Source organism: Homo sapiens, chromosome 20, assembly GCF_000001405.40.
Source record: "Homo sapiens chromosome 20, GRCh38.p14 Primary Assembly".
In the NCBI taxonomy this organism is placed as follows: domain Eukaryota; kingdom Metazoa; phylum Chordata; class Mammalia; order Primates; family Hominidae; genus Homo; species Homo sapiens.
The window spans coordinates 48,359,552-48,383,446 of NC_000020.11; the positions used below are offsets into that span (position 1 = coordinate 48,359,552).

The following is a 23,895-nucleotide window of genomic DNA, read 5'->3' on the forward strand; positions in this document are numbered from 1 at the left end:
AATCCTCCTGTCTCCTGGGTGAAAACTGGAGCCCAGATTCTAGCTCTGCTGTGTCTCTCAGACTCTGGTGAGTGTCAGAATGTTTTGGAGGCCTTGTTAAAACTCCGATGGCCAGGCCCACCCTGAGGTTCTGATTCAGGAGGTCTCAGCAGAGCCCAGAGCTGGCTTTCCCAGCAGGGCCCCGGGGTGCTGATGCTGCTGCCCCTAGGACCACCCCTGAGAGCCCTGGCTCTCCACCAGAGCCTGCTCACCTGGAGACAGTGACCACAGGCCACAGGTCACCCCTCACTGCTTCACTCCACGCCCTCTCCTGTGACCTCATCTCCTCCCACCTCCCCCTGGGTCACGTGGCTCCAGCCACACCCACCTCCCTGCTGTTCCTCACCCAGGATCACCAAGGTCTCTCCTACCCCGGGGCCTGTGCACCTGCTGTGCCTCTGCTTGGGGTGCTCTTCCCAGGGCTTGCCCACCTCCTCAGAGAGGCCTCCTGACCCCTGACACGGCCTTGCCCTTCACCTCTATCGTCCTTTAGAACAGCCCCCACCTCCCGCACATCATGCAGTTGCAGGTTCAATGGCTACTGCTTGTCCTCCAGACTCGTGAGTAACTCGTGAGGTGGGGCGGGGCGGGGGCGGGGGCGGGGGCGGGAGGGGTGGGGGTGTTTTGTTCCCTGCTCTGTCCCGGCACTCAGAGCAGTGCCTGGCAGGGGTGGGTACTCAGTACACACCTGTTAGCAAGTGACTCCGATGCAGGGACCGTTCTCTCTAATCTCCAAGTCCACCTTTCTTATACTAAGGATTTTCAGTGTTTTTTCATGCACCATCCAATCTTTTTTGACTCTTAGATCATATGCCTCAGAGCCCATCTGGGTACAAAAACACCCGTTTTCAAAAAAGGAACCAGAAAGTGGTTTCATCTCGCTTTAGGATGTGAATGAAAGCCTCTCCTTCCGTCTCCCGAGAAGGGACTTTCAGAAGCTGCAGGTGCCCAGGTCCAGGCCCCACGCTGTGGCCCCGCAGGGACTGTACTCACTCTTTATTTTTCTCTTTTCCAGCTCTCCACAAGCCAACAGCTCTCTCCTGGCTTTGATTTTCAACCATTTAAGTTGAAAAAAATTCAAAACAAATGAAATGCACTTAAGAGAAAGCCTTGAGGAGTTCAGCAGGCCACCCAAAGTGAAGGGACTCCTTTGGGGGTCTTTGTTGTTATCAATTATTTATTGAGCCCTGATGTGTTCCTGGCGCCACCAAGACCGAAAGGAGACAGGGTCCCTGCCCTGGGGCATCCCAACAAAGAAGGGAGAGTTTGTGAAGCTTAAAAATGTCCCAGATGGTAAAACAGTTACACGTCATACCTCAAGGCTGCTCTATACTTTTATTATAGTTTTATTCTTAAGGCTGTTTATTTATTTTCTGATGTAAAAGGTAATAGAAAGTTTATAAACTATTCCTAGAATATAGACAAAAAATAAAATTCGACTTCGTCCAGCATTTTTAATGCACATGTAAGAACTCTACTTGGTTTATGGCCGGGCGCGGTGGCTCACGCCTGTAATCCCAGCACTTTGGGAGGCTGAGGCGGACGGATCATGAGGTCAGGAGATCGAGACCATCCTGGCTAACATGGTGAAACCCCATCTCTTGCTAAAAATACAAAAAATTAGCCGGGTGTGGTAAGCAGGCGCCTGTAGTCCCAGCTACTCGGGAGGCTGAGGCAGGAGAATGGCGTGAACCCGGGAGACGGAGCTTGCAGTGAGCTGAGATCGCACCACTGCACTCCAGCCTGGGCAACAGAGTGAGACTCCGTCTCAAAAAAAAATAAAAATAAAAATAAAAATAAATAAAATAAAATAAAAAACTCTACTTGGTTTATGAAACTGGGATTTAGTTTGAACGTGTACTCTTCAGAATCTGCCTTGAGTTGACATCAAATTACATCACCTACATTTATTCATTTTTCTTTTCTTTCTTTTTTTTTTTTCAGAGTTTCGCTCTTATTGCTCAGGCTGGAGTGCAATGGCGCGATCTCGGCTCACTGCAGCCTCCACCTCCAAGGTTCAAGCAATTCCCGTCTCAGCCTCCCTGAGTAGCTGGGATTATAGGCGCCCGGCTAATTTTTTGTATTTCTGGTAGAGACGGAATTTCGCCATGTTGGTCAGGCTGGTTGCTTACATTTCTTTATGTCATAAAGCAGGCTTCAAAACAGAAATTTTAATCTCTTCAGAATATTCCATCACATAGATATATGATAATTGCCTTCAGTAGTCCTCTATTGCTGGATGCCAGTTTTTTTTGTTTTGTTTTGTTTTGTTTGGTTATTATAAATAACACTGCCATGAACTTCCTTAGTTTCGAAAGATTTGAATCACTCTCATTATAATTTCAGTTTATTTGTTAATTTAATGTATTTTTTGAGACAAGGTCTCACTCTGTTACTCAGGCTACATTACAGTGGCGCAATCGTAGTTCACTGCAGCCTCAAAATCCTGGGCTCAAGCGATCCTCCCACCTCAGCCTCCTGAGTAACTGGAACTAAAGGCGCACCCCGCCACACCCCACTAGTTTTTAAAATTTTTTTGTAGAGACAGGGTCTCACTTTGTTGCCCTAATTTCACTTTATAAACAGGAAGAAAGAAAACCTAACTTTAAGTTTGAAACCAAATCCTAATGCTTTCTCGCAGTTCTATTTGCTGAGGTTAAGGTGGGTATGAAGGATGTTGTTGAACCCACTAGGCTGCAGTTGCACCGAGGAACTGCGGGTCTCCACCAGGAGTGAGCGCGGGCTCCCAGTGACCCCACCAGCACCTCCTGTTTTTTTGTTGTTGTTGTTTTTTGTTTTTTTGAGGCGGAGTCTCCCTCTGTCGCCCAGGCTGGAGTGCAGTGGCGCGATCTCGGCTCACTGCAAGCTCCGCCTCCCAGGTTCATGCCATTCTCCTGCCTCAGCCTCCCAAGTAGCTGGGACTACAGGTGCCCACCACGACACCAGCTAATTTTTTTGTATTTTTAGTTGAAACAGCGTTTCACCGTGTTAGCCAGGATGGCCTCAATCTCTTGACCTTGTGATCTGCCCATCTCAGCCTCCCAAAGTGCTGGGATTACAGGCGTGAGCCACCGTGCCCGGCCACTCCAGCACCTCCTCTTTCAAGTACAAATCCAGACCAAGGCACAGGGCCCCTGCTGGGTCTGACCTTTTAGCACAAAGAGCCACCGAACCATGGGAAACACTAAATAATTTGATGCAAAGTAATTTCTTTCTTAAACATAGGGCATCCCTACAGCTTTCTGTCTTATTTTTTAGCTCCATATGAAAGAGTCTGCTCTGGGGCAAGTCCACGAGGCCCTGAGTACCACTGGGAATGGAAGCTCCACTGAGGCACACATAAGCCTCTGGTGCTTCCGTCTCTGCCATGAGAGGGTGGAAGAGACACTGGGCCACTTCAAAGTTGTTAGGTGGCCAGTTGCTGGGTGGGCATTATGTGAGGGACACTTCACTTTCCCATTTCTTTGTACCAGACAGAAAAACAGTGGAAAATCAGTTATCTCCAGTTTAAAGTTGATGGGTCAACTAAGGCTCTTTGGGCTTAAGAAATCAGTTCATATAGGTTTTTGTTTGTTTGTTTGTTTGTTTGTTTGTTTTTTGAGGTAGGGTTTCACACGGTCACCCAGGCTGGAGTCCAGTGGCACGATCTCAGCCCACTGCAACCTCCACCTCCAGGGTTCAAGAGATCCTCCTGCCTCAGCCTCCTGAGTAGCTGGGACTACAGGCGTGTGCCACCACATCTGGCTAATTTTTGCATTTTTGGGAGAGATGAGGTTTCGCCATGTTGCTCAAGCTGGTGTTGAATTCCTGGCTCAAGTGATCTGCCCGCCTCGGCCTCCCAAAGTGCTAGGATTACAGATGTGAGCCACCCTGCCAGGCCCAGTCCATATAGTTTTAAGCTCATTTGGATTTAATATAAAAGTTTAAGCTTTTGGCCTACTGTTTAATATTGAATTGTTCCTTTCATGGAATCATGAATGATTTTTCACAAGTTTCTCTTCTTTTTATAAAAAGTGACTCTGGTGGCCAGGTGCAGTGGCTAACACCTGTAATCCCAGCACTTTGGGAGGCAAGCCGGGCAGATCACGAGGTCAGGAGATGGAGACCATCCTGGCCAACATGGTGAAAACCCATCTCTACTAAAGATACAAGTTAGCTGGGCGTGGTGGCACGTGCCTGTAATCCCAGCTGCTCAGGAGGCTGAGGCAGGAGAATCACTTGAACCCAGGAGGCAGAGGTTGCAGTGAGCCTAGATTGCGCTGCTGCACTCCAGCCTGGTGACAGAGTGAGACTCTGTCTCAAAAAAAAAAAAATGACTCTGGCTCTGGCTCTATATCTAAGGGGTCAACTGCACCATTGTCACCACAATGCCATTTTCTGGAAGGAAAAGCTCTATCTGACTTCACAGTCCTTAGGAGCCTTGTTATGGAACCTGGTGGACAAACCATTTTAACTGGACATGATGTTGCTTTTTAATCAATGACTCCTGAAATTTTAGGTGAGTATGAGTCTGGAGTTTTAGATTACAAACAACAGGAAGCCAATTCAACCCAGCTTTTTAAAAGAAGATTTCTAATTAAATGTGTTGATTCTGTTAGCAGAGAACTCTGGGGGCAGTGTGGGTTGCAGGCATGGGTAGATCCAGGTGTCAAATGACATTCTCAGGACCCATGCTCTCTCCATCATTGGCTCTGATTGCTCAGGTTTGGGCTCCATTCTTGGGCCACTCTCTTGCTCTGCAGCAAGATGGTCAATGGCAGCTCTAGGCTCTCACCCTCATCTTCACATCTCTAAGTCCAGAACAAAGAGCTTTCCACACCTGCTACAGATCTGGGAGAAGATGATCCTATCTTTCTTGAACCTGAGGCTAGTCCTTACTCCTCCCTAAGTTCTAACATATTTACTTAAAACAAGGCACTAATGAAATGACTATATAAGTGCCCCACTGCCTCAGTAGGCAAAAAATGTGTTTTTATATATAGCTTATTCTAACAGTATTCAAACTGTGGCTTGATCTTACTGAGCTCCAGTGGCCATAGAGAATATGATTCTTTCAGATGTTTTCACAACAACTTTTACAGCAACTATCTTTACACCTGCCTTCCCTTTCTCCTCATCAGATCAATTAGTCTGGTTTCTTCTATTTCCTGCTTACTTTCCGTTCCCCCATTACTGAACTTCTGATTGAAGAAATATACAGGACTGGGCACTGAGGCATTGAGGATGCTTTCAAGTTAGCAGTAAAGAAATACCCACAGGGTCATCCTGCCATCCCAACAATTGTCTTCTTTCTGCTAGGATAGGCCTCATCACTCCTCAGATGATTCTCGAAGGATAACACACAGGCCAGTGGGCAGCCCTAGGCCAGGGGGATTACCAAGACATGAAGACTTTCTTTCTGTCTCAGCAACCTTCATGCTTGGTCAAGCAAAGGTGTTGCTTAAGTCAAACCCAGGGCAGGGGAGAGCAGTTGAAGCAAAGTGAGTCTTTGGAGGCCCTGTGGTTGTGGGGTCTGGTGTGGAGACAGTGAGAACGGAAAAGGTGGGAGAGGAGCAGTCAACCCGTGAATGGCCCCATTCAGACGCCTTTACCTGGAAGACGTGGCAGGTGAGCAGCAAGTGAGCGGGAGAGTGGGAGAGAGAATGAGGAAGTGAGGGAGAGAATGGATGAGTGAGCACCTGCTTGGATGAGCCGACACCCACCAGGGATCATGAGAACACCGAACAGCTGAGGCACGGTGGCGTCTCTCAGCAGCCTCCCCAGGCCTGTGCCCCTGGGTCCTGACATGAGAGCTGATGACCATTTATTATCACTGGTGATGTCAAGAGGTGGCTTGGAATGGTTGTAACCGTCTGTTCATTTTCATCTCACCTCCACATCCACCACAAATACACAGTGACGTTGCTCTGCAAAAGCAGCAGCACACAGCCCCCCAGAAGCCCCTTCCAGGTAATTGCCAAAAGTTTCTTCCATATGGAAATTCTGTAGTTGTGTGACCTCAGGCTAGTTACACAACCTCTCTGAGCTTTGCCATCGTCTTCTGTCCTATGGTAAGAATGATACTGAGGTACTAGGGAGCTGTGAAGCATATGCTGTGAGACAACACAGCTGAGCAGCCCAGCCAGAGCCCCCTGGGGAAGCCGTCAGAGGTCAGCAGCTCCCGTCTCCTTCCCTCTTGACTCCTAATAGTCTAGGACAGAACTTTGCCCTCCCTTCTTCCTGTCCCAAAGATGCACAATGATAATGATGCTGATGGTTATTTAGTAAGAAACTTCCCAACAGGAACAGTCATCAGGAGGGGGCACAGTTGGATTCTCTCCAGTGAAGATGTCAGGATGGACAGAAATGTCAGCGTAATCCAAAGAGGACACAAACACCCCTGCTATTTTCTTGTCACCAGGAAAAGGCCAGCTCTAGGTTTGATGAATGTTTAGTGAAAGAAAGTTTGCAAAAGTAGAAAAGAAACTGACATAATGGTAGCCAAACAGGCTTTCTCTGCATTAGAAGAGCTAAATATACCCTTGCATGTCTGATTAGAGAAAAACAAAACAAACAAGCAAAAGCTCCTCCGATGCACAGAGGTACTGCTCCATTGAACTAGACCAGAAGAGCTTGGGCCTGCCCCTTGGGAACAGGGGTCAACATGATGCGGTGGGCAGGGACCCATCATCTGACAAGAAGATGCCCTGAGGGCAATGGAAAGCACGGTGTGTCGGGAGAAGATGGCCCTGAGGGCAGGTGCATTCAGGTGCTTGTGAACGCTGCAGCATGTTGGGTCTCTAGTTTTGTATCAGTCAGCTACTCTCACAACAATGCTGTGTAACAAACCACCCCAAACTCAGTTGCAAACAATGATATTTATTTCTCATTCTCATGTCCACAGGTCTACTGGGGTTCATCCCATCTGAGCCAGGCCTGGCTTTTCTTGGCTGCAAGCTGAGAGCTGGGTCCAGGTCTGCTGAACCAAGGTTCTCCCATCTTCCTTGAGCCAGTGACAATCAGAGGCCTATTTCTTTCATGACGGAAGGCAGGAGAACAAGCAGGCAAGACCAGCTGTGCTAGCACATGGCACCCCTTTCCCACATCACACCTGCTAACATCCCATTGTTCAAAGCAAGTAACACAACCAAACCCAATATCAACAGGACAAGAAAACAGACTCCACCTCTAGGTGCACAAACTACAGAGTCACGGACAGAGAACACAGATCTAGGGAAGGAAGCTGGAGAATGAGAACAATGACCCTCAATAACACAACCTCCCACAGGTTTCCAAATCCCCAACCTGAGCATATTTCCAAGGAAACGGAATCATGGGTTCAGGGTTTTAGAGCAAGCAATTTCTGCTCTCCCAGCTTAGTTTCCATACCCTTAACACAGGGGCAATGACGTCGCATCGAATCATATCTTATAAGTCTGTGATGATGTTTCAACAACTGAACGCCAGAAAAGTGCTTAGAGCAAGGCCAGGTAGGAGGGACAGAAGCCAATAATAATGAGTAGCATCACTGTTAACCCGCAAAATTCTGGGAATTTCCTCGAAAGTCTAATTAGAGAATCATGTCCCCAACAATTAACAGTTATTTTGTTTTTTTTTTCTTTGAATCTGAGAAAATACTAATTGTCACAGGGTAGAATATTTATCTGATGAGCGTATAGAAGTTAAGGGCTCTTTGGAGTCACGGTGCTGGGTTTGGGTCTCATTCCTCCTCCTACCTGCCTTTCTGAGCCTTGGTTCCTCATGTGTAGAAGGGGTACAATCCCAACCTCATGTGTTTGTGGCAGTCGGGGTTAAATGGGCTAATGATTCTGAAGTGCTCCGCGCAGGCCTGGCAGGTGCTGAGCAACCTCAGGCCATAGAGAGAGCACTGATTTTGGAGTCAGGAGCTGGGACCTCAGGTCCTATTCCCTGGGGATCCGGGAAAAGTCCCTTGGCTTCCCTGAGCTTCATCTGCCCCACGTGCTAGTGAGGTGGCTGGACCAGTCAGGCTAAGGACGTCCCTGCAGCTATCTAACTTCCCCTTACTCCCTGTTCAGCAAAGGGCAGGAGCTGGGCCTGGCCAGGCTCCCACAAAGCCCAGGCGTGGCCGTGCTCAGCTCACGGACGGGTGTGGGGGATGCGTTTCTGCCCTCAAAGGACTGAGCTCCAGTTTCTTTCTTCACTGAGTCCTTTACTCTCTGCCTGCGGGTGGTTATTTAAGACATCTCCCGCCTGCAGGGGCCTCTTAGAGAACAAACAGATCGTTCCTTCAGCTGCAGTGCAGGCTTTACTGGGCTTGTTCCTGCATCAAGTAGACAGATCCTTCCTGAATAGAGTCGCCCCACAGGCCCCACACCCAGAGAGGGGCAGCCAGGAGCCTCCGAGGCGGGCTCTGCCCAGCTCTGCCTTGAGCTCTGCCTGACTGCAGAGAAGGAAAGTTCTCTTCTTGCAACCTCAAATCTTCCAGATAAGAACCAAACGACATCCGGCCTTTGCGTTCTCTCCACCAGCTCCCGGCTCACCCACCCAGCAGCTCAGCACCTGCGAAATCCGTCTCCCGATGCACACTTGCTAACCGCGTGGGTGTGAGCACAACGATGGGAAACAGCGGAAGTCCCCGGAGTGCAGACTCAGGAGTGAACCTGCCTGAAGAGTGGCGTCTAACGCACACACTGTGGTCAGCTCCACCCCACTATGGGTCCCGGGAATAGGAGCAAGTATGTATTTTGCTTGCAGGGCAGGTGTTTCATCCACATTATTGCAGGAACAGATGAATTTAATTAAAAGAACACCACAGTGGGCACCTCTTCCAGGGATGTCTCCCTCTAAGAACATGACACTGAGATGATCAAGGTTCTAAAAGGGCGATCAAATTACTCTCCGAAAATGAAACTGCTCAGACAGAATGACAATTAAATTAATAACAACCAAGACAATGCCCAGATTTCATCTCCGCTCACAGCCCCTCCTGTGTGCTGTATGATCAGGTTCTTGGGGTGGCTCCAGATACAGCAAACAGTCAGGATTAATCCACAAGAGTGAGCTGTCAGCATGAGGTTCCCCTACAGTGGAGCTTGCCAAGGTCCGTGCCTCCCAGGGCACCCGTTCCAGGGCTAACAGATGAAGCATGGAAATGCTGTGTGGAGTGAGCTAAGCAGCCGTTCTCAGGAGAAAACAGACAAATCCTCCTGCATCCTGGCAAACCAGCTTTGTGGCCTGTTTTATGTCATCTTTGCTGAGCTCCACCGGGTCACCCCTCCTGTTGGCTTTGTGATACTGACATTTCAGGCACTGGCACAGATACATTGGCCTTCCTGGCTGGGATTTCACGGACGGAGTGAGCAGTGCTGGCTTGGAGGAGCCGTGGCGGCACAGGGCCTGTGCTCTCAGCTGATCAACGCCTTGATAGCCAGGAAAGGCCTGTCCTACCCCAAAGGGCCCTCGCAGCACTGTTTGAAATTGCTCTTGCCATCTTTGGAATGGATTCCTCAGTACATTTCAGACTCGTTGTTGTGACTTTGGTTTTAATCCAGGGACACACCGTGGCCAGTGGAGTGTCTCAACAGCATCTATGATCGCTGTTTCCCAGAGACAGCATCTCAGATACCGATGCTGAAAGAGAAACAGCAGCCTGTCCCCAAGTGGCAGGAAATAGTCCATTTTAATGGCAATTTCATAAGTGGCAGATGATTTTTATTGTAATTTTCTGGTGAGCTGATTAAGTGGAGGCAGAGTCAGTTCTGAGGCGTCAATGTCTTTAACAATTCGGGGAGACGGAGGCCACGCTCAGCAGGAACACTGAGTCCATGGAAAACAGGCCCTGGGCCCGCTGATGTGCATAATTCCACGTTTGCCCCTCATGTAACCAGGATGGTAAATTACAGGTGTCAGATAATCACGCTCTGGAGTGGCTACTTGAGGATGCGATCGACCAATTTAAGCTCCGTCTGACACATGATCAATAGCCCGTGATGCTGCATGGAATTGCAGGCACAGTGTCCAAACCTGCAGAGCAGTGGCTCCCAGCTGGGGCAACTTTGCCCCCCAGAGGACATTTGGCAATGTCTGGATATGTTTGCAATTGTCACAACTAGGAAAGGAGGTACCCATAGGATACACAGGAAAGTCCTCACACAGTTGTATCCTGCCCAGACTGTCCGTAGAGCCAGGGTGAGATGCTCTGACAGAGCCACAGTGAACATTGCATTCCATCATCTGGGTATCTCCAGGAATGTATGTAGCTGGATGTCTGGCTTTTCATCTGGGTTTCACGAGCCTCCTGCAGAACTGAAACCATGTGCAAATCAGTTCTCATACTTGCTCTCCTGCCTCCTTCCTATTGTAATTTTTTCTTCCCACCTTTTTTATTGTTACTAGAGAAATGATGAAGAAAAAGAATAGGCTGGAGAGTCACTCAAAATTTTGTTTTCCTCAATTAAAAAGAAGTAATTTAGAAGTTACTCAATGATGTTTTCTTTAATTAAAAAAAAAAGTAGTTTGGGAAAGCAGAAAATTAATGAAGACAGAAAACACAGGTTTCATGAAAAAGTTCAGCATCCCAGGAAAGGAGCAAAGAGAAGTCTGCAGATGAGAGTTGCTCAGTGTCAGGACTCAGAAAACAATACCCCAAGATAATGTTCAAACCTGAGTGCTTTGAACAAAGGATATTGAAAGACCTCAGAAGAGGGCCTCAGAACTCACATGTCTCTCTGACCTTCTCCTGTCTCTCCTTCACTTCCAAAGCATGATCTTTGGCCAGGGGATCTCTCTGGGATTCCCTTATCTGCCTGAGGGATGTACTTCCAAAAGAAATGTGACTGGCATGACCTCCTCCCTAGGAATCTCTTCAAACAGCCGGGAAAGACTGGTCACCTGAGAGGAGATTGGAAGTCCTCACTGCACTCAGAAAGGCTGTTGTCCATTCTTCTAGAGACTTTATCTGAATAACAAGGCAACTTTTGTTTACCATTCAGTTCCTCCCCTTTCCTTTCTAACTTGTCACCACCTCCCCCAAAAGCCTCAAGCCTCCACTCCTACAAGCTATAAAGACTTCAACCATCTGGCTTCTCCATGAGTCTCATGTTTTGTGTGGCTCTTAGGCATATGTGCATGGTAATACATGTGTATGCCTTTCCTCCGGGTAATCTGTTTATTGTCAGTTTAAAGCAGCCACAGAGTTAAAGACGGAAGCCTTCAGAAGGCTTTCCCTTTGCCCCTGCATCCATCACCTGAGAGCCCACCCATGACAGACTTGAACTATGGACAGAGGCTGCAGTCAATAGAGCCCAGGGTGAGACTGACTACAGGAGAAGCTGGGCCTTGGGGGATAAGCCCAAGCTTCTCAATTCTCAAACTGCAGGTTAAGCCTCTATAATGGAGCCTGAATTCCATTCAGTGAGTCTTGACCAGCATTTTAAAATGTGAAATAACAGAACTCAGTAGAAAATATCAAAGGGCATTACTTATAGTGAGGTAAGAATATTCTGCGAAATTTTAGTTTTATATTGAGTGTGTGTGTGTGTGTGTGCACGCGCACGCCAGGCCTTGTTGTAAAATATACTTCTTATAATGGGTTGTGTTCAAAACAGCTTGTAAAATATGGGAGCAGATGAAATGATGGAGGATTTGGTAAGAACTAAATATTTGTAAGCAAATTTTGCAGTGAAAAGAACAAGGAAATTATTAATTCAAGAGAAATCAAAAGTAGTATAAGAAAGAAAATGCAACCATATTGCCATACTTGGCTCTGCTGTAAATAACATCTACTTGGCCACATGACATAAATGCTGATTATGATGATGTCATTGAAAACGGTAATTTAGCCATGCAGGAGGCTGTGAGTTATGGTGGCAAGTGGAGGAAGAGAGCTAATCCCTCCTCTGGGGGCCGGCATTGAGAGATCACAGAGCAACTTGAATCCCCGTGAAGCACTTGCTCTTACAAGATTTGGAAGAAACTTGCACAAACAGTAAAGTGTCTTTACTTGTGGATGTCTCTGGGAAAAGATGGGCAGGGAACAGAAAGATTCAACGGTGTTTGATTTGGTGACCATATATCTCTTTAATTTAAAAAGGGATCATTCAGGACCAGTGAGGCCATGGTGGTGTTCATTGGAAAGAGCCCAGGGACCCAGGTGGCTCTTGGCTCCATCACCTAGAACCCCATGCCCTTGAACGAGTCCCTCTCCAGCTTTTGACACCAGTTGGCCAACCTCTAAAACAAAGAGGCCAGGCCAAATTATTTTGACTTGTCCTTGGAGCCCTGTGAGTCTGTCTCACCACGGAGTGACTTGGGAGTCTGGGTACCACCCACCCTGACTCCATGTCAAATACCGTGCACATCTCAAGCACAGTGCCTGGCTCAGCACAGGCAGCAGGAAAGCTGTGTGGGTGTGCATCAGGGTTGGTGGACACAGTAGACAGCCTTTGCTCTCCCAAGATGGGGGAGGTCCGGTACCATGACTTAGGGAACTGCTGGTTCCTAACCAACCCCCCCACCCACCCCGGACAGTAGTGCAGAAAGGATGCTTTCCTAATCAGCTAATTTTCACAAAATGTGGGATGCCCTGGTGGGATCCCGTGGTAGGAGAGTAGATGACTTCCAGGAGCACATAGAGGGGGCAGAGGCTGCGGGCTGACCCTTGATACCCCTCATCCCCTTCATTTAACATTAGAAATCCCAAAGTTTAGTTGCCTGGACCGGAACTGAATTTCCCATCCTGCCTTGCAGCTGGTGTGTACCTTCCCAGTGTACCCTTAAATGCATGAGTACGCCCCACTTACCCTTTTCCTCTTCCCTCCTGCCTGATGTGACTTGCACCTCCTTGGACCAGGTGGACAAGAAAAGCCTCCGTCAATGACAGAGCCCAAGATGGGCAGGTCGAGGATCAGCCCCGGGAGCCGCCCAACTAGCTCGCCCCTCGCCCCCGCCCCCCAGCCCCCACAATCCCCCGATGGCGAGGCTGTCATGTGGGAGAAAAGCAAACCTCTGGTTCATGAAATTGCAGGTATTTGGAGCCTCTGCACAAGCTAGTGAACTTGTATATCAATAAGTAGGGGGAGTACATTTTTTATTTCAATAGTTATTCACTTTAATGTGTATTAGAAAAAAAATTCCAACTTATTAATCAAACCTGTGATTTCATTATGGCGACAGAGGACGTTAAAGTAGGTAACACATTTTTTACTTTTACCATGAGTAAAAATGTGAGCCGGTTTAGTTTAAAAGAAAACGCCAGAAAACAGCATGGGCATGACAAGGGTTTGGCAACAATCACGATCATCCTGGAGTGACTGAAGCTCGTCCACTTGGGACAGGTGACCATGTGGGGGACTCTGGAGCAGCAAAGCAGTCAGGGTGAGGGGTCAGAGGCACCAAACTTCCTCTTAGAAAAACACGAGGGAACCGACGAACCCATGTCCAGGGAATGCTGAGGACGCTCTTGACTGTAGGGGGACCGAGCACAAAGCCCCCGTCGCCGCCCGGCGGACCCGAGCTCCTGGACTCAGCCTTGACCGACACTGACTCTGTTCCCACAGCGGCCGCTTTGTTCGTCTCCTTTGTGGACACTTAGCTCAGCGCCTGTGCTGCTCGGCTGTGACCTGACCTTCGAGGGTCACCTCCTGAATTCAATCGCTGTGACCTGTGCTGCGGACCCCGTCAGGAAGCTCCTGGTCTCCTCCAGTCCCTCCCCCGCCTCATTCGCACAAAAGGCCTCATTGTTCTGCAGGGTCTGATTCAGACCTGCCCTGGTTTCAGTTTCGGCAAACACCCAGCACTGGCTTTGGGTCAGGGGTCACTCTGGAGTGAACGGGGCGCCCTGAGCAACCCCACATCGCTGTGTGATCCCGGCTCATCCACAGGAAGCCCCGGCCCAGGGACCCAAATGGGTCCCAGAAGTGGACCAGATGCAGCGCCGACGGTGATGTGGGGACGCCGGCATCTCCAACAGTGGGAAAGAGGAAACTTTCTACTTTTCATTAAGCCCCGTCCTCTTCTCCCCCAGGGTTACGGGGACACAATGTCTTCACTGGCCATGTTGGAACGTTCTGGGGTGTGAAGGGAACGTCCCCAAGAGCAGTGACTTGACCTTCGCTTTGGCTGAGATTTGAAATTCTCTTCTTACCGATCTTTAAATCTGTACACGCAGGAGTCTGTTTTATATCCAGCCGTCCCTGTGACCTCGGGCGAGTTCCTTACCTTGTGTTTCCTCATCTGTAAAGTGGGAATAATGACCGCACGGCCTCGTGTGCTTGTCAGAACAAAATCAGACAATGCACGAAGACCCGTTGGCCCGGAAAGCTGCAGCTGGGCCCTGACGATGCCACGCTGTCCATCTGGGGAGGGGAAGTTCATTGCTAATTCGACTCAAAGGAGAAAAATGCATGTCCCCCTGAGCTGAAAGAAGGAACGAAGCCAAGTCCACCAGGCCACCGGGTCTCCTTAGGCTGAGGAAATGGACAAGGAGGGCAACATGGAAACTGCAGAGAGCAGCAAAGCCCTTCACTACTGCTGCCCGAACCCTGCAGCGGCTCCTACAGCCACCACAGGTCACTGGGCCAGAAGCAAGTTAGGGAACAGCCACATCACCATTCAGGGAAGCCGCTCCCAGGCGCTGATCCCCGGAATGGTGGATTTGCTAACAGCAGCCACACAGACACCTCACCTCACGCCAGGCTGCTGAGCTCAGCGGGGGGCACGATTGCCCAAGCAGGGGTGGGGCAGGGCAAGGCAGACCCAGTCACATGGTGGGAAAAGCCAAAAAAAACCTGCCTGATTTGGTAAAATGCCAGAACTGGGCATTTTAAAGTTAGTTTTTAAGGCGTAGCCATTTGTTGGGGGTTTTTTTGCCTTGTACTCTCCTGTCTCCCTCCTCGCCACACAATAAACTGTCTCCAAGGCAGCCGCCCTCCCGTTGCCAGGACGTGCGAGGCAGGGAGGTCAGGAGCTCTGCTGTGAGGGCGCCACCCGGCTTCCGGTTTGTGCATGAAAACCCGGCTCAGCTTTTCCGTTCCATGAAGACTGGGCTTCTCCAGGCTGCTCGGTAAATAATCACGGATTCCACTGGGAAGAGAAAACATCCCCACAGCCCCTTCTCCATTGTGCACCCAACCTCCAGGTGTTTTCAGTCTCTCAAAGAGCCCCGACGCCTGAAATTTAACAACTAAAACCTTATTTTTCATTTCCTGAGATTCTCTTGGTGGAATCAGGCAGCCTGGCAGTGCGCAGCACCTAGGGTGGCTCATGATGAAAAATCCAGAGGGGACTTTGCCTTCCTGCATGTCCTTTTGTCACCAGAACCCGGGGACCAGCAGGACCCAAAGCTCCCTGCGGGATCAGCTGGGTCTGGGAATCACTGTCCTGGGCCCATTTGGACTTTTCGGATGAGGCCGGTGTTTGGCCAGCACCTGGGCTGGGCAGGTGGGAAGGACAGAGGCGCTGATGGAGAGAGGGAGGGGAAGGGGATTCACAGCCGTCCTGGGAGCCCCACGGGTGCCTTTGGCCTCTGGCTCCTCTGCCTGCCCCTCAGGCTGGTTAAATTCCCCCCTGAAAGTTCCCCATTGGGCAAGTCCAGCAAGCCTGAGCCAGGCCTGTGATCTCAGGGTGGGTGGAGCTCTAGAAGGCCTGGCCCTCGCTCCTGGAGTCCACGTTCACCCTCAAGGCAGTGAACGGCACCCCACTGCGCATCTACTCACTAACCAGGCACGGGATGGTTTCCATGGTTCCTGTGTCTTAGACCAGCTCGCTCATGGTGACATGGGACACGCTGAGACCCCACCATGGTGCAGAGTGACATTAATGCATTAAATTAGCAGCCTCTGCAACACAAACACATTTGCATGTGGAGCCTGTGACGTTCTTTGGTAAAAGGAATCCTTACATGTTTGCAAACATTACACTCGCTGAGGAAGGGCCTCGGGCTCTGACAAATGATAAATGGGAAAATTAGACGCTTCAGGAAAATGCAAATATCATCCTTCGTAAGTCTGTCCGTTGGCAGGAAATTTAAAAAAAAAAAAAGGTTTCCCCAAAGCAGTGAGGCATTACTTCTCCTCTTTTAAATGCCAGGAAGAAGGGCTGTGATTCTTTTAGGCACTTGCATGGATCTTGATTTCTCTTCCACAGTCTCCCCAACGCCCTGGCAATGTGTAGGGGAGAAGCCTGTGATTTCAGCAGACTGTCCTCTAATTCAGCGTTTCTCAAGCTTTATTTCATAATCACCCCCTAAGGAATCTTTATAGGCAATTTTTTCTTACTTGCCCCCCTATGAATTTTAATACTACATAATTACTGCAGAATGGTTTATGCACTGTGTGGACATCTACATTTTTACATAAAGACAAAAATCTTTTCACCTCTGGGAGCCAGCTCTGGCCCCCATGGGAGCAGTATTCTCCGCTAAGAAGGCCTGCTCCCATTCCTTCTTTTGTTGATTTTGGGAGGAGGTGCAGGAGCTGCCTGGGGCCTTGGGGCAGAGCGATTCGGGAGAGGGGACAGAGAGGACAGAGTCCGGAGAGGGGAGGGGAGGGATGAGGCCGAGGAGCAGCCAGGAGCCCCGTGTGGCTGGGGCCAGGGGGAGTTGAGGGTAGAGGAGTGATGGGTGACTACAGGGCAGGGGCCGGGGGTGGGGGGCGGAGATGGATCATCTCAGGCCTTAGGGGACCCTGTGAGGACTTCAGCTTTTACTCTGAGGGAAGTGGGAGCCATTAGAGGGTTTCAGCAGAGACAGGACATGGTCTGGTTTATTTTTTAATGGATGATCTGTGTGAGGACAGGTTGGGGTTGTGGGGTCAGAGCTGGAGAAGGAGGCCAGCGGGGTCTACTGCAATGGTCCAAGCAGGAGATGATGGTGGCTTGGACCAGAGGGTAGCTGTGAGGGAGGTGGGAAGTGGCCGTATCCTTGATCTGTTTTGGAGGTAGAGCACTGGCACGGTTTGCTAAGAAGGGTATCACCCCAGAGCTGTCAAAGGCTCATCAGGTACCCCCTCTTTTACTGGTATTAACTTCTTATCCTCCCAATGAGGCTATGAGGCAGTTATGCATTCTCTTAATGGGAGACTGAGACACAGAAAGGCTAAATACAGTCCTCAGAGATTACACTACCAAGAGTCAGAGTCAGGGTTTGAACTTGGGCAGAGGCTACACTCATGACCACCCTGCTGTGATACTTGGGTTATTTGGGATATAAAAGTGTAAACTGGAGTGCTGGCTACCTCCTGGTCAGTCTCTCTGCAGTAGCCATTGCTTTACAGAGTAGCCGCAAGCTTTCTCAAATACCGCTGCCTTAATCCTTGGCCAGCCCCTGAATCTCACCATTTCCTCCACCAAGCTGCAGCCCCTTTCATCTGCGACACCAGTGCTCTGGGATCCCTGCCTAAGAACTCGGTCTGCCTTACCCAGCTAAACACTCCAACCAGGTCCTTGGAGCTAAGAAAAGTCAAAAGCCTGGATCTTAGCAGTGATCATCAAAATAGTAACAAATATAGTAAAATAAATTTTAAAATTTATTTGCTTTCATTTTCTAAGCAAACTAAACTCTGATAAGATACTTCTTAACTAAGAAAGATATAAGCTGTGGCACAAATCACTCATCCAATTTGTCACTAATTTGTCGGTTGTCTGTCGGTTTTTAAACATTGGTGGTATAATGTGTTGTTTGGCACAGCCGCCACTAGCTAAGCAATGCTCCTATCTGAAACTAATGGATGAGGGAGCCACAGCCACCTCTTCCAACCACCTCTTGATTAAATGAATGGTCATTAGGTCCCTGGCACCGAGGAGTCATTACAGACAAGGACAGGTGGCTATGCCACCAGCACATCACAGCCAAGTGCACCCTGGAGTCCCACCTTCCCACAAGACCCCCACCGAAGAGCTCACCCTCCCCTTGGCCCTGCTGACAACAAGCAGTGGCAACCCTCAGGCTCCCTCCCCCCTCATGCAAATATCCAGGCTCTGCAGTAGCAAAATGCAGACAAATTCTCTTTCTCTACCCCAGTTCGGTACAACCTATTGTTGTTACTCATGGTAGATATGTTCTATAAAGTCACGCAAACACTGAATTGGCAAATACTAAGCCATTGCTCCTTCAGGGTTAGGTCCCCATGAGCCTGTGGTCACAATATTTTCATCTACTGATCAATACATAACCTTGTTTTATGTGTGTTTCTGTTTAAAGGCACTTTATTTAATAGATGTTGTTTCATTAACATTGAACTCACGGCCAACAGTGCTACAACCCATGACTGAGCCAAGTTTATCCAACCCACGTTTCTCCCACCCGAGCCTTCCCACCCTTTGGAACACCAGACGGCACTCCAGCACTACTCTTGGGGGCCATTTTAGAAAGCAAAATCACCCCAAAAAAAAGCACAAAAATGCCAAAAAACATGGCACTAAATATACCATGAAAAGATGCTCGTTTAGTTTAAAAGCTAAAGCAAGGCAGAGCACTGCCTTGTTCAACCTCAGCATGTTCTGCGCTTCCAGCAGCTCAAATATTCTCTGCTCTGCTTCTGTTTGCAAATGACCACAAAAACCTGCCAAGTATTGATTTTGAGGTTACAAATCAATTTTAGCAAGCAGGCAAATTTACAAATATGGAATCTGTGAATATTGAGGATGGACTGTATTTCACTAAGGTACTGGTGCATCCTAGCTGTGTTTCAGTCCTACCAAAGATACATTTTTCCCAAGGTGCTGCCTATAAAGCTGCCAGCTAGCCTCTAGCTTTGCCCCCACACCTGGTGGTGGTCTGTACTTCCTGTCTTCACCTTGTCCCTTCCTACTTGAGACTTACTGGTATCTCCTCCAGGTGGTCACCCCTTTGATATAATTCGGATGTTTGTCCCCTCCAAATCTTGTGTTGCAATGTTATTCCCAATGTTGGAGGTGGGGCCTGATAGGAGACGTTTGGGTGATGGGGGTGGATCACTCATGAACGTCTTGGTGCCATCCTCATCCTCATGGTAATGAGTGAGTTCTCACTCACTATGTTAGTCCCCCTGAGAACTGATTGTTAAAAAGAGCCTGGCGCCTCCCGCCCCTCCCCTTCTCTCTTGCTCACTCTCTCACCAAGTGGCTTGCCAGCTCCCCTTGCCTTCCACCATGAGTGAAAGCTTCTGTGGCCCTCACCAAAAGCCAAGCAGATGCTGGCACCATGCTTCTTATACAGCCTACAGGACCATGAGCCAAGTAAAGCTCTTTTCTTTATAAATTATTAGATTGGTGCAAAAGGAATTGTGCTTTTGACATTAAAATTAATGGCAAAGACTGCAATTACTTTTGCACCAACCTAATACCCAGTTTTGGGTATTCCTTTATAGCAATGCAAGTGGACTAAGACACCCTTCTATGATGAGCCCCTCTATCCCCACCACTTTGTACCCCATGTAAGGCTTAGTTAAGATGCCTCTTGTCACGCTGACCCCATGCCTCTCTTTCACTGTGTCCTTCTCATTGTGCGGCCCCTGATGGATTTCCCATTGGTCCCACACTGGACCGTGGGTCCAGGAAAGCAAAATCTACGCGTCCCCAGTTTCTTGCATGCTTCTGATGCTCCATAAATGACTCATAAATACTGAGTGAACAAATGAATGAATTCATCCTAAACAGTTTCATCTGTATTTGGAATATCTGCAATACTACAAATAGTCACCCATTAGGAGATTCATGGGTGGGTCTTGACCACCATTTACAAATGAAATAGACTAAAGAAAATGTAAAATATGAAATGCATTGTACAAAGTAAGAGTATTATCTCTTGAAATGTTAGTTCTATATAACTATGTTCTGGGTCACTAGGTGTGATGGTTAATTTTGTATTAACTTGACTGAGTCATTGGGTGCCCAGAGATTTGGTTAAACATTATTTCTGGATGTGTCTGTGAGGTTGTTTCTGGATGAGATTAGCATTTGAATCTGTAGACTGAGTAAAGTAGTCTGTTCTCCCCAATGTGAGTGGGCCTCGTCAAATTCACTGAAGGCCTGAATAGAGTAAAAGGCTGAGTAAGAGAGAATTCTTCGTCTTTGCATGACTGTCTCTGAGATGCAACATTGGCCTTCTTCTGTCTTCAGACTCAGATTCAGACTGGAACTCACACGTTAGCTTTCCTGGTTCTCACACCTTTGGACCTGGGCTAGAACTTACACTGCCAGCTCTCCTCACTCTCTAGCTCATCACCTGCAGATATTGGATTTCTTGAGCTCCATTATCACATGAACCAATTCTTTATAGTAAATATCTTTCTCTCTCTCTCTCTCTCTCATATATATATATATATATATATATATATATATATATATATATATACACACACACACACACAGACACATACATAAATGGATATGTATAAACTAATGGGATACCTTATTATACATAATAATAGGATATATATATATATATACAATTGGTTTGATATTTCTTGCTGGAATTCAGGGTGAAAAATGCCTGAAAGTCCTAACTACCCTGGACCTATAACAGCTCACATACTTGTGAATTGACCTTCCGTGAAGATGATAAATTTTAAATGACAAATGACCCACACTGAGCCTGTGTATCAAGGTTTCTTAGTAAATTAGACAAAAATGTGTCCCTTTTGGATCTGCCAGGGAAAGGCCCCTTTTCATTCTGACCAGTGACCAAATTCACCTTAATGGCCATTGAGTGAGCAAATCTCTGGCCTGGTCTCACTTCACAAAATAAGACAATGGATTGAGCTCAGGAATAAACACCTACTTTTATGTTTTAATGTCCCAATGTATATGATTCTGTATATCAGAGCCTAAAATCTTTCTAGTGGATTTTCCTTCAGTGGAAACTTGTAATAAAATTATTTCATTTGTAGGGGGAAAAAGGGAAAATGAAGCACAATTTGAGATGATTTAAAATGTTTCTCCAGCTCTAGGAAACCTGCTTTGTTCAACATATTTCCCCAGATAAAGATGCCGGGACGTAGAGTATTTTTTCTGTTTTTATGGGAGTCAAGGATTAGAGATTTGGGAGAGGTAATGAAGAGTAGAAGGGCTATCAGCTCTTCTACCTTTTTTGAGTGTGCAGGGGCTATGGGAGACTGGGCCCTCAACCCAGGGTGTGCCTGGGGAAGAGGCAGGGATTTGTGGAGCTGTGCTCTAAGAAGAGATTGACGAGCATGGAATTTTACAGCCTATACTGAGGAAAATCAGTGGAAGAGTTGTACCTTATAAGAAAGAACTTGCACAGTTGACATTGAGAGCAGAATCATTTGTACAGTCTCGCACGGCTGCATTGCCGTATCAGGTTACTGGATAGATGAAGTTATAATGAGATTAGAATAACCAAGACACTAATATCCTGCTAGTTCATGAATATTTAGTAGATCCTCTCAGGCCAACATCTTACCCTGTTTGCATTCTATCCCTGAAAGAATCAGAGGGTAACTTGTACCTAAAAGCCCATTAGAGAAGATTTTCTATAGAGATGTTGCACTTAGCCTGGGGATTTTAAGTTTTGGTCTTCATGGTGTCAGATTTTAAGAATCAGGAAAAGGAATGGCCTAATTTTGCCTTTCAGGACTTACATAGAATAAAGGAAAAAATCTGGACAACAAAAACAGAAAGACGCCAGGCCCCATCTCTCTGTGACTAAAGCGTAAATATTTAAGCTTTGCTGCTCTCTAACTCGGGAATCTTGGACTGGGGAATAGGCCATTATCTGGGTTACACTTTAAAAGGCTTTCCTTTCTTCCATCCATTCTGGGGTCCTTAATCACAGCTCAGGTCTCCCTTGAGGTTACCCTGTGCACTGGTCTCAAAAGTTCATTCCCAAAGTGCTGACCTCTCAGGGGAGACCCTTCACTGTCAGGGTGGGCTTTCAAAGGGAGGCATCAGTGCTTGCCCTGAGACGTGAGGCCTACTGTGCCCTGGGCCTGACGGTGTGATGGCCTGAACATTGCTGGCCTCCAGCCAGGTCTTTTCTGAGACGCCTGTGCTCTTGCCAAACAGTTGTTAAAAGTCTTGAATCTCAATTCCCACTTTCAGGGTCTCCAAGGTCTTATACATTTTAACTCCAAAGTATTTACTGAGCCCTACTCCATCCAAGACACAGCTGCAGGTCCCAAAAATACACTGGGCAGCAAAACAGACCCAGCCTCACCCGTCATGGAGTTCAGAGTCCAGTAGAAGAGACGTACCAAATAATCGCAAAAACAAAGAGATTATTTCAACCATCGTGAGTGTTGGGAAGGAAAGAGACAGAGAGTTATGGGAACCTAGAATGGGAGGAGACAGACCTACACAGGAGGTCAGGGTCAGCTTGCCTGAGGAGGGAGATCTGATGGGCGCCTATAAGTTAACTAGGCAAAGACAAAGATCACAGAGGTGTGGAAGGGTGAAGAGGGAGCTTCCAGCAGTGGAAACTGCGTTTGCGAAGGCCCCATGGCAGGAGCGGGCAAGACAGGGTGGATGTCAGGGACTGAAGGGAGCCTGTCTGGGTGGAGAAGAGACGGTAAGGCTGAGAATGGTGAGGGTGAGGCCAGACCACCCAGGCCTTGCTGTCCATGTTAAATATTCACCTTTCACAGAATGGTAAGGGAAAGCCATTAAGTATGTTAAGCAGAGGTCAGAAAGTAGGTGAGGGTGGGAGGGGGAAGAGCAGGGAGGCTGGAGGTTTACTCAGCAAATACTTCTTGAGCATCTAGGATGAGGCAGGGGTCAGAAGTGAGCCAAAAGCTTCCCTTTGCAGAGGTCATGTTGTAGTGGAAGGAGGTGCACATTTATCAACCAGATGCCTAAGTGTAGTGAGGACGTGACAGGGTGCTATGCAGGAAAATAAAGCAGGAAGAAAGTTAAGAGTGAATGCAACCGGGGTGCATGCTGAGGGTCCAGAGAAGACCTCGCTGAGAAGGTGACCTTTGAGTAGAGACTTAGGTGAGCCTTGCATATGTCTGGTGGAAGGGCACTCCAGGAACCGGGAATAGCAAAGGCAAAGGGCCCTGAGTCAGGAGCACGTCTGCCAGATGCCAGGAACAGCAGGCAGGCCAGTGCAAATGGAGCTCAAGAGCAAAGGGAAAGGAATAGCAGGTGGGATCAGGGAGGTGACAGGGAACCTGGGCATGAGAATGTTGGTCTGTTGAAAGGGCTTGGGGTTTTATTCTGAAATAGGAGCCACAAGAGGGTCCTGAGGAGGGATAAGGTCTGCCGCAGGTTCTAAGTGGATTCCACTGGCTGCAGATGGAGAAAGGACTGTGGATGGGAGGCATGGGCTGGGGCAGGGAGACCAGCAGGGAGGCCAGGTGGAGGTGATAGTGGCCTGAGCCAGGTGGTCAGAGTGATGGGGGTGAGGGGCTCTGATGCTGCCCATCTTGCAGGTAGAGCTGGCAGGATTTGCTGGCAGATGAGAAGTGGAGTGGGGAAGAAAGAGAGGAGTAGAGGATGACTCCCAGGTGATGGCCTGAGAGCTGGGAGAGTGGGGCTGCCATTTAGAGATGGGGAAGACTGAGGAAGGACTGTGCTCAGATAAAGCCCCTCTGCCAACTGCAAGAGACACAGGGCAGCAGGGACAGAGTGACGGAGTTAGGAGATGTGTCACAGTCCTCCAAGGAAGAACATGTCTCTCTGGAATTTGTTGGTCTGATGATCTGCTTTTTGCTGAAATGACCAGGCTAATGGTGTTTTCGGGACCTGCTGTTAACCATGGAGCTGGGTCGTGAGCTGTATATAGTTTATAAAAATAATTCAACCTTCCTGTATCCTATGACACATTTTATATCAGAGAATCATAAAAAATCCTTTTTATTGAAAAATTTTGTTTAATAAATGGGGCACATGTTATCACTTAGCCAAATCAATTATCTCCTCCAGACATTTGTATCTTTATGAAAAGACAGACTTCTTTTGACT

At 48.1% G+C, this 23,895-nt stretch overlaps 1 long non-coding RNA gene across 1 annotated transcript; it reads left to right on the forward strand.

The window, feature by feature from the left end:
- Positions 1-359: 359 nt before the first annotated feature.
- On the forward strand, positions 360-11,087 carry LINC00494 (long intergenic non-protein coding RNA 494). Its single transcript, NR_026958.1, has 5 exons — positions 360-599; positions 5,338-5,646; positions 6,923-7,082; positions 7,185-7,508; positions 8,529-11,087. It is a non-coding gene; the product is annotated as a long intergenic non-protein coding RNA 494 (long non-coding RNA).
- Positions 11,088-23,895: the final 12,808 nt, after the last annotated feature.